Genomic DNA, 15,939 nt, shown 5'->3' on the forward strand with positions numbered 1-15,939 from the left:
ACTTCTATCTGGGAATACACAAAGAATATACAAATAACTTTTTAAATGGTAAAATCCAATTAAAAATATATATTTTAGCAGATACTTAATCAAAATATTATATAAATATGGCACACAACATGTACAAAGATGCTCAACATCATTAGTTATCACAGATGTGCACAGCAGAACTATAAAGAAGGGACCACTACACCAGGAGGTCTAACATTTTTAAAGGCCGATAATGCCAAATGTTGTCAAGATAACTGGAATGGTCACACAGTGTTGATGAAAATCAAAAATGGAAGGACTGTTTTGAAAAGGTTTGACAGTTTTATAAAAATAAAACATAAACTGGCTGGGCATGGTGGCTCATGCCTGTAATCCCAGCACTTTGGGAGGCTGAGGTGGGTGGATCACTTGAGGTCAGGAGTTCGAGACCAGCCTGGCCAACCTGGTGAGACCGCCATCTCTACTAAAAATACAAATATTAGCCGGGTGCGGTGGCAGGCACTTATAATCCCAAATACTCAGGAGGCTGAGGCAGGAGAATTGCTTGGACAGGGGGCAGGGGTTGCAGTGAGCTGAGATAGAGCCACTGCACTCCAGCCTGGGCAACAAGAGCAAGACTCTGTCTCAAATAAATAAATAAACAAACTACCATTAGATGCAGCAATTTCACTCCTAGATACTTATGCAAGAGGAATGTAAGCATATGTCCACATATACACTTTTACAGATATAATTATAGAAACTTTATTTGTAATAAGCAAACACTGGAAACAACCCAAATGTCTGTCAAGGGCTGAACTGTATCTACCCAAAGTGTGTATATTGAAGCTCTGGACCCCAATCCCTCAGAATGTGCCTATTTGGAAATAGGGCCTTTAAAAGGGTGATTAAGTTAAAATGAAGCTATTAGGCTGGTTCCTCCTCCAGAAGAGGACATTTGGATACACGAAGAGACATCAGCGATGCACACACAGAGAAAAGACCATGCAAAGACGTCTGAAAGCCGAGGAGAGCGGCCTCGGGAGAAACCAAACCTGCCAACACCTGCTAATCTCAGACTTCTAGCCTCTCGAACTGTGAAAAATAAACGTCTGTTTTTTAAAGCACTCGGTGACATTTTGTTAGTTTTGCTAAAAAACTAATACAATGTCCATCAACAGATGGATAAGCAAATTGTTGTATCCTCACGCAAGGGAAAACTACACAGCCATAAGCGCAACAATTTACACATGCTGTGGTACGCGGATATGTAGTTGCCTGGGGATGGGGGTGGGAGGAAAAACTAAAATAATCGTACATTTAATGAGTACTGAATTGTGTGCACCAGGAAATTTACAATCAAATCATGAATACCACACATCCATCACCTGTCCTAATATTCTCATGCCCACCTTTGTAATGCCCACCCTTTTTTCTCCCAGGCAACTACAGATCTGCTTTCCGACACGATAGAATTGTATTTTCTAGAATTGGGTACGTTTCTGACACACGTTATGTTTTATATAGATATTTTGGTCTGGCTCCTTACACTCTATGTGAGTACATGGAGATTCATGTGTACCACAGCATGTGTAAACAGTCACTTCTCCCTTTGGGCTGTCTTTCCTATTTCATTAGGTTGCTTATAGTGATCCCGAAAGATGCAACTCACAAAGTAATCTTCCTAGAAACAGGAAAGTCTAAAAAGTAAAAAAATACATATGGGAAGAAATTTTTATTTCCCTTAAGGTATATTTTTCTGCCTATATCTGATATAATTTCAATTTTACGATGACCATTTTTCCCTACGTTTTCTCAACTGGAGATCCATTGACTGACACAGCTCTACCTTTTATCAAATACCCAATCAGTAACCTGCATGGTGCCACTCAATGGTATCCAGAGTCATCCACACCACTTCTACTGCCCCTAACCCAGGCTCATCTCTGAAATTTCATTATTCGCATTAGTCACTCTTTGGGTCTGATAATCTAAAGACTTAAAATGCAAAGTCCTTTTTTAAAAAAGAAAAACTGAAGCAATGATGCTTTGGTTTGAATTTCAAAGAGAATTGCCTTAACAAAGAGGCCCCAAGAGCACACAACACAGGACTAGGCACAGAGTCAGGGTGAGACACAGAGAAAGGGTGTGATCTACAAGCCAGTGCAGTTTGCAGGAAGAGGAGGACAGGATTCCTGGGCAGCTAAGGCAGTGATCAGACGATGGTACCTTGGACAACACAAGGGCACAACAGCCACCAAGCGGGACAGAAAGGAACTGCTGACACATCTGGCCACTTGCCAGTTTGGGCTGGGAATCCTGGAGGCACTAACATGAACTGTTTTGACGTACTCTACATAGAATCATAGCATTTCCACAGCTTCACTGAATTTTCAGAGCTGTAAAAATCATTTTCATCTTAGAGATGGGACATTGGAGGCCCACAGAAGTTAAAAGAGCGTCCAAGAATACATATCTAATTACTGGCACAACCGGGACAGAGCCAGGTGACCTACTCCAGGTCAGGGGTTCTTTCCACTACACCTGTGCCTGACTTGAAAGCGTTAGAATGCCCTTAGATTAAAACCAAATTTTGTTTATCATCATCAGCCAAGGTATTATCTCATTAATAATTGCAGTCATCACAATTATAAAGCATATAGGTTCCCTGACAGTAATGGTAGTAATAGTCGTAAATATTCATTATATGCACCTGAAAGCTGATGAGCTAGAACTGAAAGGAAAAACCATAAGCTGGTAGAAAGAATGAAGAAAGGAGGCTACAACTACTGCATAGAGCTGGCTTGAGTATTCCCAGGCCAGCAAAGACTTCCACATTTATAAGGCCACTTACTCTTCCTCCCAGACATTGAAAAACATCTGTCCAACTTGATAAGAAGAACCAAACTAAGTGGAAGTGTGCAAAAGAAATCCTTTGTGTTAAAGAACTATTATTAGTTTAAGTACAGTATTGCAGGTCCTAAATCTTGGTCCCTCTCTTAAGTACAGTATTGCAGGTCCTAAATCTTGGTCCCTCTTCCCATCACTTCCTTTTTTTCTCACCTTCTCACATGCAAAAACACATATGCATATGCATGTCTGTGCTGAGGACCACACAGCCAAGGGAACTGATAACAAGTGAGAAGAGTGAAATCCAGACAGGAAAATTAATGACATTCTTTCAGATGCTTCCGCTTCTCAGAGAAATCACAAGTGCATTAACTCATTTGATTCCCGCAAATTGCTTGTAAAGCCGGCAGCACCAGGATAATTATGCCTGTGTGGCTGATGAGGAAAGTGTGGAACGCAGAGGCATCTTCATTCTTATGATTAACCCAAGTGTGAGCATCCCTGTCTGGAACAAAGTCATTCCTTTCTGATTGATTACCTATTTAATTGAACCCTGAGCTAGTGGGGCTGCAGCTCTTACCTTTGAGGTCTATTAGAGTTCCATGGAGGAAGTCTTTTTAGTGCCAGGGACAGTATTGGGGTTCAGTGCTAAATATTTATCTACTAAATGGGAAAATTAAAATTTAAGAAAACCATCAATGCAGATAATGACAAAGACTCACAAATGAAGACATGCCTGCTATTTGTGTCCTATGCATTAGCAGAAACCATCAACAGAGTCAGCATACTTTCAACTGAAAAGACAACCACATTAAATGACTTCCGTGAACTACTTTGATGAGCGTGAGTAATGTTTTCAGTTAACAACACAAGAATTGAGTCTTCCATTATCACGAGATTTTTTCCTTCAGCATTAGTAGAAGCATCTCCAAGTTAGAGCGAACCGGAGACTTCCGCTGGTACAATAAAATCATAAATAATTAAAATGACTTAAGCTGCCCCTTTCTTTAACATTTCCTATCCAAAAGGCCCATAAATCACTTCAATAAAAGTGCCTTTTTTTTTTTATCAACCCTAAATCTGTGCTTAGGTCTATGTGCTTCTACTTGATTTTATGCATCAGATGTAGCAAGAGATGAATTGATTGCCTGTTTTACAATGTCACACATATGTGTCTACCACTTGGTACTTCTGGCAAGGGGAGGTCACAAAAAATAGATTTCACTGGAGACAACCACAATTTTCTCCTTCTTCCAGACGTTTCACTTTCCATAATCTGACCCAGATTATTAGCCACAATTAATTAATTCTACCTAAGGAGTCCTTTTAAGAGTAGACAGCATGGGAGTGACATAGCAACAGCCATAGCCTACTAAGTGCCTGGTACCAAAGATCCTTTATTAAATACTCAATATAATCATGCATGGTTTATCATATTTTCTCGATTTTACAGACTTAGTAATGGACTTGTCCATATTTATTTATTTCCATAAATAATTAGGAGAGCCTGGAGTTGCACCAAGTTCTCTCTGACTTGAAGAGCTTATCAATTAAAAAATAAGTCAGAGTCAGGGTGACTCTGACTCTAGCCCAATAAGTAGAAAAGGATATGAGATGTCCACTGCTTCAATTATCTTCAGAGCAAGATAACAACCATTTATTAAAGCAGGAGAGAAAGTATCCTATTGTTTAACTTCTGTAGGGACAGCGATTTCTTGGATTGCTTAGGTTTCCAACTTTGGACTCTTCTGTATATGTAGTGTAGATTCAGTTGTAAAATGTTGCTTCCTCTCTGAGAAAACTCTTCTGGTTCTACTGGACCCCTTCTAGACAGTACCTAGTGAAAGTAATACGGGTAAATAGCAAGCTGAAAGAGCATGACGGAGCTAGTCCAGTCCATATATACTGCAGCAAGATTGATTTTGAAGTAACAATCACTATGAATTAAAGGCAGCATGGCATAGCAAAAAAGGAATCAATTTGGCAGTCAGACATAATTGGATTCAAATTCCAGCTTCATCACTTAACTGATTAACCTTAAGAAAAGTTATTTAACCTCTCAGAGCACCTATTTTCTCATCTAAAAAATAGATTTAAGTATGACAGTCCTTGTATATACTGATAGGAATTTTCAGTGAGATAACGCAAATAAAATGTGATATATTAATGGTTATGAATAATTATTATGAATACATATTCATATCTATGTATAATCCCAATTTGTCTAGAGTAAGTTTGATTCTCCCTAGGTATACATGTAGGCTTACTGAGAAAATGTTCATCAGCATATTCCTTCACACATCTTCCATTTTTGAGAGAACAGTGTAGTGTGGTCTGAAGTAAATTGGGTAAATTTTGAAAACTGAATATCCCTAAATTTAGAAGGACACAGATAAGAACTTGGAGCAAAACAGATGAACATATTTGATTCTATAATAAAAGGATAGAGCAAAAAGCAACAAAAGAATTTGCTTTTTTCCTCCTAACTTGGCTTTCTAATAACATCATACATATTTTTGACAAGTGCATAACACCCTCCTAATCTGGATGGCAAGTACAAGAGCTGAAATTTGAGGGAGACACTTTCAAAACCTTCTTGAACTCATTTTTTTTTTGCAGGTGAATTTCAACTTGAGCAAGCTAAAGCAGAAAAATATGCATGTAAACACCACAAACTAAATTTCTTGATGTGAAGGCTATCTACTTAAAATAACTTCACATGAAAGTAATGAATTCACTCTCACAGTGGACAGAACAGATCAAGTTTGAGAGGGAAGACAAAAATTTCTTGGGATGCACTCCCCGTTGAGAGAACCTGTCAGATGATGGATTTTAGTAAATACCAAGAAAAAGCCCTGGGAGACAAAGCAACATGGCTTCCAGATACCAACAGCACAACCATTGCCTGTAACTCCTTCTGTACTTTCTTAGAGAGCTCCATAAAACAATATATTCATCAATGCAGGCATATTTACATTGCAGAAAACTCAACTTAGACTGGATTAAATAATTATGTATTGGTTCACGTACCTGGAAGTCCAATTGAGGAATAAAGTACAAGTTTTCTTGACCCAGATGCTAAGAGATGCTGTCTCGTCACTATGTCTTTTGCAGATTACTAATTCTATGTTGGCTGCAGGAACAGCTCATGCTTAGGTCACGGGCCGCTGGTGCACAGTTATCTTTTATGTTAATTGACACAAACCGAAAGGAAACACCCCAAAGCTAAGGATCAGCTTTCTCCTAAGTACAAGAGCTGACTAGGGAGAAATGGATACACAACGACTATCTAGGTACTATTTGAAAGAGTACTCATTTTAATGAGAGAGAATTTAATTCAAACTGTCCCCATTAATCAGGGAATAAACCTATGAAGAATAAAGATCCATTTACACTGCATTGGAACAGGCAAGGATAAAATTACCTTCTCTCTAAGATGTGTGGACAGAAAAGGTAAATCTTAGAACCCATGTCAGTTTGGCTGCATGTGACAGAACAATGCAAAATACCAGGATTAAGCAACATAGAAGTTTATTTTCCTTTCACATAAAAGAATCCAGAAAAAATCTGGTCTGGTGACGCTATGGTTTTAAAAAAGGAAACAAAAAATAATCAAGGGCTTCCAGTTCCTATTGTTCTGCTCTTCAGTGCCGGCTTCCATCTTCAATAGATTATCTCATCGTTAAAAGTATCTGTCTTTCAAAAGCTCTAGCCCGTCATTACTTCTACATTTCATTTCAAACAAAGACAAAGAAAAGCCAGAAGGGTGCCGCCTTACTCCCGCAAAGAGCCTTCTTGGAAGTCCTAAGGCAACACTTATGCTTGCATCTGATTGGCCAGAAATGTGTCACATGACCATATCTAGGTGAAAGAAAACTGCTGGGCTATGCAGTCTTTCAGCAGCATACCTTGCCCAGGCATCCACTCTCGTACAAAGGACACAAGGAAGAATACCAGAAACTACTGATTCTCTTATTCTCAGAACCTATGGAAGTGACCTAGAATAGCCAAGACAAATTGAAAAACAAGAATAAGTTTGGAGGACTTATGCAATTGGTTTTAAAAAATTACAGCAAACTAAACTAATCAAAAGAGTGTAGTATTGGCACAATATACACATCAATGGAACAGAACAGAGTATACAAAAACCGATGCAAACATACATAGTCAGTTGGCTTTTGGTAAAGATTCCAAGAAAATTCAATGAGAACAAAACAGTCCTTTTAAAGAATGCTTGCTGTAATAATTGGGTAACAGTTTGGGAGGAAAAATTAAGCTCAACCATTGCCTCACAATATACATAAAACATTAATACAAAAAGGTGTTATAGTTCTAAATGTATGAGCTAAAACTCTAAAACTTCTAGAAGAAAACAGAAGAAAATCAGTGTGGCATAAGGAGTCCTTGAAAAGAAGAGAAAACTCAGAAATCATGTTAGAAAAATATGGTAGAGAGGACTAGTTTGCAGCTCTGGACAGAGTAGCATGCAGAGGCTTGCATTGTGAATTTTAGCTCCAGATGGACTGCAAGAACAAATCAGCAATTCTCAGAGGACCTGCAGGCTCTCTGAAAGAAGCAGACAGCTCCTTGCAGGACACCCCAAATACTGTGAGTGCCCCAGGTGCAGAGGTGGGAAAGGGAGACCCTCCTCCCCCGAACACACCCCACCAACTAGAGAAGCTGAAGGTCTGTTTGCGGGAGAAGTTTTGGACTTGACCCGGAGCTGAGTCAAGTTAGAGAGCCAGTGAAATACAGGGGTAGGACAAAGCAGCAGAAAGGCCCTGGGAGCTCGCTCGGTCCCCAGCAGCCCATTCCTGCCTGGCACCACAAGGATCCATTGGGAAGGTGGGCAGAGGAGCAGGGGGTAAAACTCCACAGGGAGAAGGAATTCTCTCCCTTAACTTTGTAACAATTTGAACCCAGTGAGAAACCTCCTGGCCAGAACTCAGGGAGGGCAGGAATTCACAGGCAGGGGAAGAACCAAGCCCTTTTCTCTCACAGCTGGGAGGCGGATAGCTTCAGGCAAATTTTCAAGTCCTTCTCACCCTCTTCCTGGAAACAGACTTTGGGCTGTCGTGTGGGGTGTGGTGGGAGAGAGACCCGGCCCTTCAGTTTGTGTGGGAGCTGGCTGAGGCCCGTTACTGCTGGCTTTCCTCCACTTCCAACCTGCAGGACTCAGCAGAGGCAGCCATAATCCTCCTAGTTACACAATTCCAGTGTTGCTGGTGAGGCAAAATGGTGCATTCACTTCAGAAAATAATTAAAAAGAGGTAAAACTGACACTGACTGAAACCGCATACAGTAAGATTTTCTGTTGCTTTAAAACTGGCAGATAAATCACAATATCCTGAATTGTAGAACTGCAAAATTCGATCTATAAAAATTTGTCAAGAGATATAATTACTGTAAATAAAAATTCACAACAGGAGAAGTGAGTCTGTCAAATTTGATGGCAGAAAATATTCCTTAAAGGAATCAAATCTGTGTGTTAAATATAAAAGTTAATTCCAATGAGAAAATTACATGGAAATATGGAAGCTATTTAACTGTGCCATATAAAACACTGACCCATAACTTAGTTTGACATTATGGGATCTGTTTCAGAAGCCACAAGCTTGATGAACAATGTCTCAGTGTTGCCATAATTATAATTTTTTAAGTTTGTATTTTAAAATCTTCCATGTCAAAATGTCGAAGGTCACAATGGCCTGAGACCATGAATTTCCTTTCCCGTTACTGTGTCAGTGGGCGCACCACCTGAGCCACCCGTGGCCTTCCTTTCACAAGGAAAAGGAAGACATCAGCGTCTCCAGGTGCTCCTCTCAGCGTGACAGGAAGAATGGCAATCACTAAAGAAAACCAAAGAAAATGCATATATAACTGGATCTAAAGAACTCTTTCAAACAACATTATCTCCTCTCACAAGTTATTTTACCAAACGATGCTGCAGTGCAAACTGCAGAGCCCAGCAGTGCGGGTGAACATTCCGGTTTCTCTGTTCAACGTTACCTGTCCAGCACCAGACCCTTGCTGGGTCTTAGTGCAATGACACCAAGGATCACACCTGAAATTATTCGAGAGACAAAACCTAGAGGGAAAGGAAATTGTAGAAAGATTGCATTATTTACAAAGTTAAACCATTTTCTGGAATGTGTCCAAAATGGCTGTTATTGGGCAGGGAGACCTTGAGGGCTGTGATCAACCCATTTGGTTCTGCCCCATGTAAATAATACGGCAACTCATTCTGCCTATACCGATGATAATGAATTGCAAAAATGTACAATTGTGTACTTGCTGGAATTCATGATTCTTTAATCACTAAAAAACAGATATCAAATGTTACTTGCAAAAACCCAATAAAATATTTCTAATTGCATTGTTGCATTTAGTATCAATTCTCTCATTATGTACTACTGCTCAGTAGGTAATTAGAAATGCAATGCACTTATCTCCACCTATTTTTATTTCATCCTTATTTTTACAGCCTCATCTTTTCACATAACCCTGGCTGAAATAAAACGTGTACATTCAGCAGTCTCAAAGCAGGATAATTGCAGTGCTCTCTCTGTTCTTCATCATTCTCCCTTCAAGAAACTCAGTCAACTATTTTCTTCTAGAACCCTTCCTAACCAAAACAATCAAGAAAATGAGTTTTCATCTCTCAGTGTGAATCAACCACTCAAATGGTTTTACAAGTCGACCTCATGAGTGTAGGACTGTACCATTCATAGACACAAACTGTCTCCTTGTGGGCTGTCCTCATCGCCTGATGCCCGGCCCTGCTTTCCATCTGGCCATCATAGTCTGGATAATCCCTTCTTCCTTTTTCAGATCTCCTTTTTTGCTCCTGTTAGACAAATCTCCTTGCTGCCCAACTGAATCTACCCTTTGTTCTGAATGGAAAACTATTCTAAAAAACAGCAATGAATACGAAAAGTGATCCATCTGCAAAGGAGCAGGATAAAAGAAGTTCTGATCCTTGACAATAGTCCCCTGTATAGGAAATTTCCAATAATTATACCATCAATACACAACACCAAGAAACATCAGTGAGTCTTTTTCATTTCCCATTTGACAGTAGAAAGTGATTGAGTCTATAATAAATGAGTCTATAAATACTAGTTAATATCAATAATGAATGAATAAAACACTGGAGGGAAAAAGACTTACGCCATTTCAAAACTCGCTTAGCCAAAATGTGATCGAAGATAATCCACCATACTGGGTATATGCACACCATAGAATACTGTGCAGCCGTAAAAAGGGAAAGAGATCATGTCATTTGCAACAACATGAATGCAGCTGGACATTATCCTAAATGAAGTAATGCAAGAACAGCAAACCAAATACGATGTCTTCTCACACACAAGTGGGAGCTAAACATTGGATACTCATGGACATAAAGATGGCAGCAGTAGACACTGGGGACTACTAGAGGAGGGAGAGGAGAAAGGGCTGAAAAACAAACTGTTGGGTATATACTCAGTACCTAGGTGACAGGCTCATTCACACCCCAAACCTCAGCATCGCACAATATACCCCGATAATAAGCCTGTATATGTAGCCCCTGAATCTGAAATAAAAGTTGAAGGGAAAAAAAAGAATACACTATGCTGAAATAAAAAACAAGTAACAAACGCTTAATAACTACTAGGTCAAATACGACATTTAAACAATGAAATGATGGACTAATCAGAAATTAATGACAGTAGAGTTCACAAAATGTGGCCTCCGTAATTTTTGATTTGGGAAAAATGTTGCCTTTTTATTGTCTAATATATCATTAATTTAAAAAATATATTCGATGAACAACGGGAGAGTCATTTTTGTGTACAGGATAGAAGTTCATATGCATTTATTAGAATAGCTTATATAATTTAGCAAATTATTTGTATTTTATTAAAATTTAGTAATTTAGTAAATTTTCAAATCCTCTGTTTTCTGTATCACCATGCTGAGAGAGCTATTTTAAAGTTTCCCAATGCTATCATGTTTCTGTCAATTTCCTGTTGAAATGCTAAGATCTTTTGCTTTACATACTTTAATTCAATTTGTTTTAGCACAGAGTGTCATAGATGTTATACCGACAAAATGAATAATTGTTTTGTTTTTAATTTTTATTTCACAAGAAATATACAAAATTATAAAAATAACACACAGATGCCTGTGTACCACCAAATCAACTTGAAAACCAAAACACTGACTGAACAGTTAGTTCATCTTTGTGATCTCTCCCCGGGCTATCCATCTTCATTCATCCCAATTAAAACCTTTATACTAATTTTTAGGTTTATATTTCTCATAAATTTTTATACCTTTGCTAGAACATTCATAAATAATATAGTATTATAGGATACTTATATAGTGGAATTTTACGCAGCAATAAAAATAAATGACCTTGAGTAAGACTTTTCAAGTGATATAAATCTAAAAACCCTATTTAGCAAAAATAAGCTAGTACAGAAGAACATATGCAATGTGAAACTATTTACATTGTAATTTTTTAAAAAAAGAATTGTACCTTATATCTATCAAATAATCCTTGTTCTCCCACTTTAAGCCGTTTGCATTGAATTATCTTTTACTATTTAGTATACTGAAGTTTGGTTTGTTTCCATTTTCATGATTTATGTGTCCACACTTATGCTTTCATTCTTTTAAAGGCAGCTTTGCTTTAGATATGTTTATTTATACAAAATAAAATGTGAAAGGCTTTGTCTTTTAATACGGTAGTTAAACCAACAGCATATATAACTGAACTATTTAGACATCTTTTTATCTTGCTCTTTCATGTTTTTAAATTTTCTTGCTGTTTCTTTTATTTTTGTTCTCTAGCCAAATAAACTACACGACCTTCATTTTTATCACAACCAGTGTTTTCATACATAATGGATAGAGAGATTGGCAAGATAGATGATTGACAGATTAATCAATTTATAGATACATCATATCTTGTTTTCAACAACCAGTTTCAGGCTTTTCAAAACTGTACTTAATCTATACTTCTTAACCTATTCCTTTTTTCATTGTCATAGTTAAGTCAAAAACAGTATATTTTTGTTTTCTTCTCTATGCAGTAGAATATTTTAATTATATTTTGTTTCCATCTACTCTTCCCTTCGTCCCCACTGCTAGACTTTATTTGTATAATTAAAATTCTAAATATTTTATTATATTATCATTTTTAAATATACATGTTCTTTTTTGAGAAAATGTTTGACATTTGAATTTTCTAAATCAGGTATACGGGTGTTTTTATTTATTTCAATTGTTCAACTTTTTTCCCATTTGCCATACTTCTCTTGCTACTTGTCTCCCCCTTTTTGAGATTAATGTAGACCTATCTTTCAAAGAGATGGGTTACCTTCAGATAGATATCACAAACACGTGCATGAACCATGTGTGAGCATGTGTTTATTTTGTCTTGACACATTAAAAGGTGGTGATTATAGAGGACAAAATCAGGCTTGGTGCAGTGGCTCATACCTGTAATCTCAGCACTTTGGGAGTCTGAGCAAGGAGGATCACTTGAGCCCAGGAGTTTGACACCAGCCTGGGTGAAATAGTTAGGCCCTAACTCTACAAAAAAAAAAAAAATTAAAAAAATTAAAAAAATTAAAAAAATTTAAAACTTTAGCCAAGTGTGGTGGTGCAATACCTGTGATCCTAGCTACTCAGGAGGCTGAGGTAGGAGGATCACTTGAGCCTGGAAGGTCAAGGCTGCAGTGAGCCATGATCATGCCACTGCACTGCAGCCTTGGTGACAGAGTGAGACCCTGTCTCAAAAAAGAAAAAAGAAATTAGCCAGGTATGGCGGTGCATGCCTGTAGTCCAGCTCCTCGGAAGGCTGAGGTGGGAGAATCACTTGAGCCCAGCAGTTCGAGGGTGCAGTGAGCTATGATCACATAGCTGCACTCAGCCTGGGCAACAGAATGAGACCCTGTCTCTAAAAATAAAAAATCAAAAGTGACAGGACAAAATTCGGAGCAGCATTTACTATTGCATCTGAGAAGTCTCAGATGAGGCTGACTTTTTCCTTTGTGAGAAGTCAATCTTTTTTCCCTCCTTCCTCTCCCATATCTCACCCTAGATGATTATAAACGCTAGCTTTATTCTTCTAGTTAGAAAATTTTGCCAGAATATCTGTAGTCCCTTTGTCTTGGCATCATGTGATAAAATCTTTTCATCTGTATGCCCAGCTCAGAAAAGTTGCTCTCTACTGCCACCTCCGCCTCATCACATCTTTAATTATTGCTTCTGTTAAATTACCCTGGTTTCTGTTCCAGTCAATTATCTCTGTGTTGGGTCCCTTTTCATCTTTATATGTGTACTATGTTATTTCATTGTTTGTATTTGTTTATTTAAACAGGGTCTTGCTCTGTCACCCAGGCCAGAGTGCAGTGGTGCAATCATGGCTTACTGCAGCCTCAACCTCCTGGGCTCAAACGATCCTCCTGCCTCAGCCTCCCAAGTAGCTGAGACTACTTGTGTGCCACTGCACCTGGCCTGTTTTGATTTAGAATCTTTAAAACACAGCAGACCCCTTCAATAATTAGGAGAAACACAAGATAGAAATATAGATTTTATTACCTACAGGTTGGGGGGCACACGGCACGCCCAGAGGCTGCACACTGAGGTCAGGGAGATCAGACAGGGAAAGAGAATGAGGGATCCATGGGTCAACACCTTTATTGAGGTTCAGGACAGTGTCCAAACACACTTCTGGAGAGAAGTTTTCATTGGTAGATTTGAAAGAAACAAGCATGAGTTCCATGCTATGACTGAGAGAGGGTCACTGCAGCATGTCTCACAGTCCCTGCAAGGTGTAGCGCTCAGCAGGGCCAGTCAAGCAGGTGGGATCTGGCTGTCCCATAGGGAGGTGGTCACCAGGAAGCAGCTGTGTAAGAAGACGCCTGGATAGACCATACTGACGAACTGGGGAGAGGTGTAGAACTAAAAAGTGTGTCAAGCGTGATTGAGTCCTGCTTCTGATATGAGAAAGCTAAACGTATTTAAAATGGATGTTGTCAGGGCAACATAAAATCATAAGAATTCACTACGCTCATAATTTTTCCATCTTTATTTTTTCTGTATTGTGCGGAAAGTTTTTCTCAAGTTCATCCTTCACATTTATTGATACTATCTTCTGTAGAACCAATTCTGGTTTTTACATGAATATATATGGATTTTAATTATGAAATTTTTAGCACCCTAGAAGTTCTTCCTATTTCATTCATCTCCCTTTTCTTCCCTTTCTTTTATTTATCGCAGTTGCTTGCCTCTTTATTATTTTACTCTTTTTTCATAGAGGCTATATTTTCCTTTATTTATGATTACAAAGAGCTTTTTGAATTTTATTCTTCTGTTATTTTTTTCTAGATTCATATGTGCCCTATGATTCCATTAGAGTGCTCTCTCTGCCTGGATTTAGGGTACTTTTTCAAGGGTCCATGATATTTTTTAAATCTGTTTGCTCATCTTTAATAATGCTCAAGAGTTTGTCAATAAACTGGGTTTATGAATCTTCATTTTTTTCTACTGTCTGCCAACTCAAGTATATAATCTCCAATCATTAACTAGAGGCAGATAAGGATGGATGGTGGGGTTTGTAGATTTCCTTTGGTTTTACGCCTCAAGGATTTTGTGTTCTATCACTCTGCTATCTCAGAGCTACAATTAGGAGGAAAAGCCTTATTACATCAGGCTGCACTTTCCAAGAACCTACTAAAGTACCATCTCTCTTAGATTGTTTTTGTCTGAAACAAAAATGTAGTGCATTAAGAATTACAGTCTTCAACATGGGCTAATACTAAGGATTTCTATCAATGACCCAAGTCATGAGCACTTTAAAATACTTTTCAATTAAAAATGATGGGAAGTGTGATGGAAAGGTGATTGGGCTAGAAAGTCAACTGTGGTAAATAGTGTAGACTGGGTCATTCAACACCTGTTTCTGTTCACTTTTAGTTTGTCTTGCTGTAATATCAAAATCGGGAAAGATGAAAACTACCTTTCCCAGTCTCTATTGCAAATAGTTTCCTCTGAGGTCAACTTTCTGTTAAGCAGATGAACCCATGCAAGAATTCTGAGGTAGAAGAGAGCAGCAGAGGTGGAAGACATGAAGAGAAATGAAGTCTTCTGGCAAACACAGGGAAAGGGTGTTAGGTAGTTCTGCATCAGTTGTAGGAGAGCTTAGAGTTTCCAAAACATTTTGTCTTGGATTCTAAGCAGGACCCTTGGGGTTCTGCTAGTGCAGACTGGATATTTCTTCTGAATTTTTGGATCCTGGCTGTATAACATCTCTGCTTAATTCCCTGATGCACTGTTACTCATTTTTCTTCATATTTTATGGATTTTAACTTGTTTGAAGGCCGTGAAATGAGTTTATCTGTGTTAGTTAGCTACCTTGTGAGGAAGTTCCAACTCTCTTACTGACTGCCCATAGAGCCATTGGTGGAAGGACTCCAGAGGGCACATTTCTCATCTCAGCCCATGTAAATGGCACCTCCAAAGAACTGAGATACGATGATACTACTCTCCATCTCTACCACTCCTCATTCCACAAAAAACAAATAAAGCCAGATCCAAGAATACACACACCAGGGACCAATTACAACATGCGACCTAACAGAGAATGGTACACACTCCAAAAAAAAAAAAAATTCTATTTCTAATTTAATTTATTCTTCAAAAGTTTTCCATTAAAACAATACCAAATCCTCGATATATAGTGGATTATCATAGTGACTATTTGTTAACTCCAATGGCAGCTGCTATTTCCTTTGGATATGTTTCCCAGAGTAAATCAACACATACCAGGTATTTAGTAAGAAGCTCTTGACCTAGAAGAAATGTTTTTCTCACATTCCAATAAGCAGAAAACACTAGAATCTATTTGTCACTTGTCTAGATTATCAGTACACATTTATGTTCTTATCTCAGGACTACATCAATTCTATAGCTCCTGCCATGCAAAATTCAATCATCAGAGACGTTGATCCTATCATCCTCCTCCCGCCAGCGAAGGATATTTTGTTGGTCCGCTGCATTAGTGACATCACAAAGATGGGACCTGATGCTAGAAAAATCATCGGTACCTTAGATGCCCTGGTAAGACAT

The 15,939-nt window shown here is 38.4% G+C and overlaps 3 long non-coding RNA genes across 3 annotated transcripts in view; all 3 read right to left on the reverse strand.

The window, feature by feature from the left end:
• LOC107985173 (uncharacterized) overlaps positions 1-15,939 on the reverse strand; it is a 122,834-nt gene that overhangs the window by 18,731 nt on the left and 88,164 nt on the right. The window lies entirely within an intron of this gene.
• The window catches only part of LOC124904250 (uncharacterized), a 55,834-nt gene that overhangs the window by 9,674 nt on the left and 30,221 nt on the right, over positions 1-15,939 (reverse strand). The window lies entirely within an intron of this gene.
• LOC105371995 (uncharacterized) lies at positions 4,198-5,940 on the reverse strand. Its single transcript, NR_188006.1, has 2 exons — positions 5,851-5,940; positions 4,198-4,657 (listed from the first exon to the last, which is right to left on the reverse strand). It is a non-coding gene; the product is annotated as an uncharacterized LOC105371995 (long non-coding RNA).

Source organism: Homo sapiens, chromosome 18, assembly GCF_000001405.40.
Source record: "Homo sapiens chromosome 18, GRCh38.p14 Primary Assembly".
Classification (NCBI taxonomy): domain Eukaryota; kingdom Metazoa; phylum Chordata; class Mammalia; order Primates; family Hominidae; genus Homo; species Homo sapiens.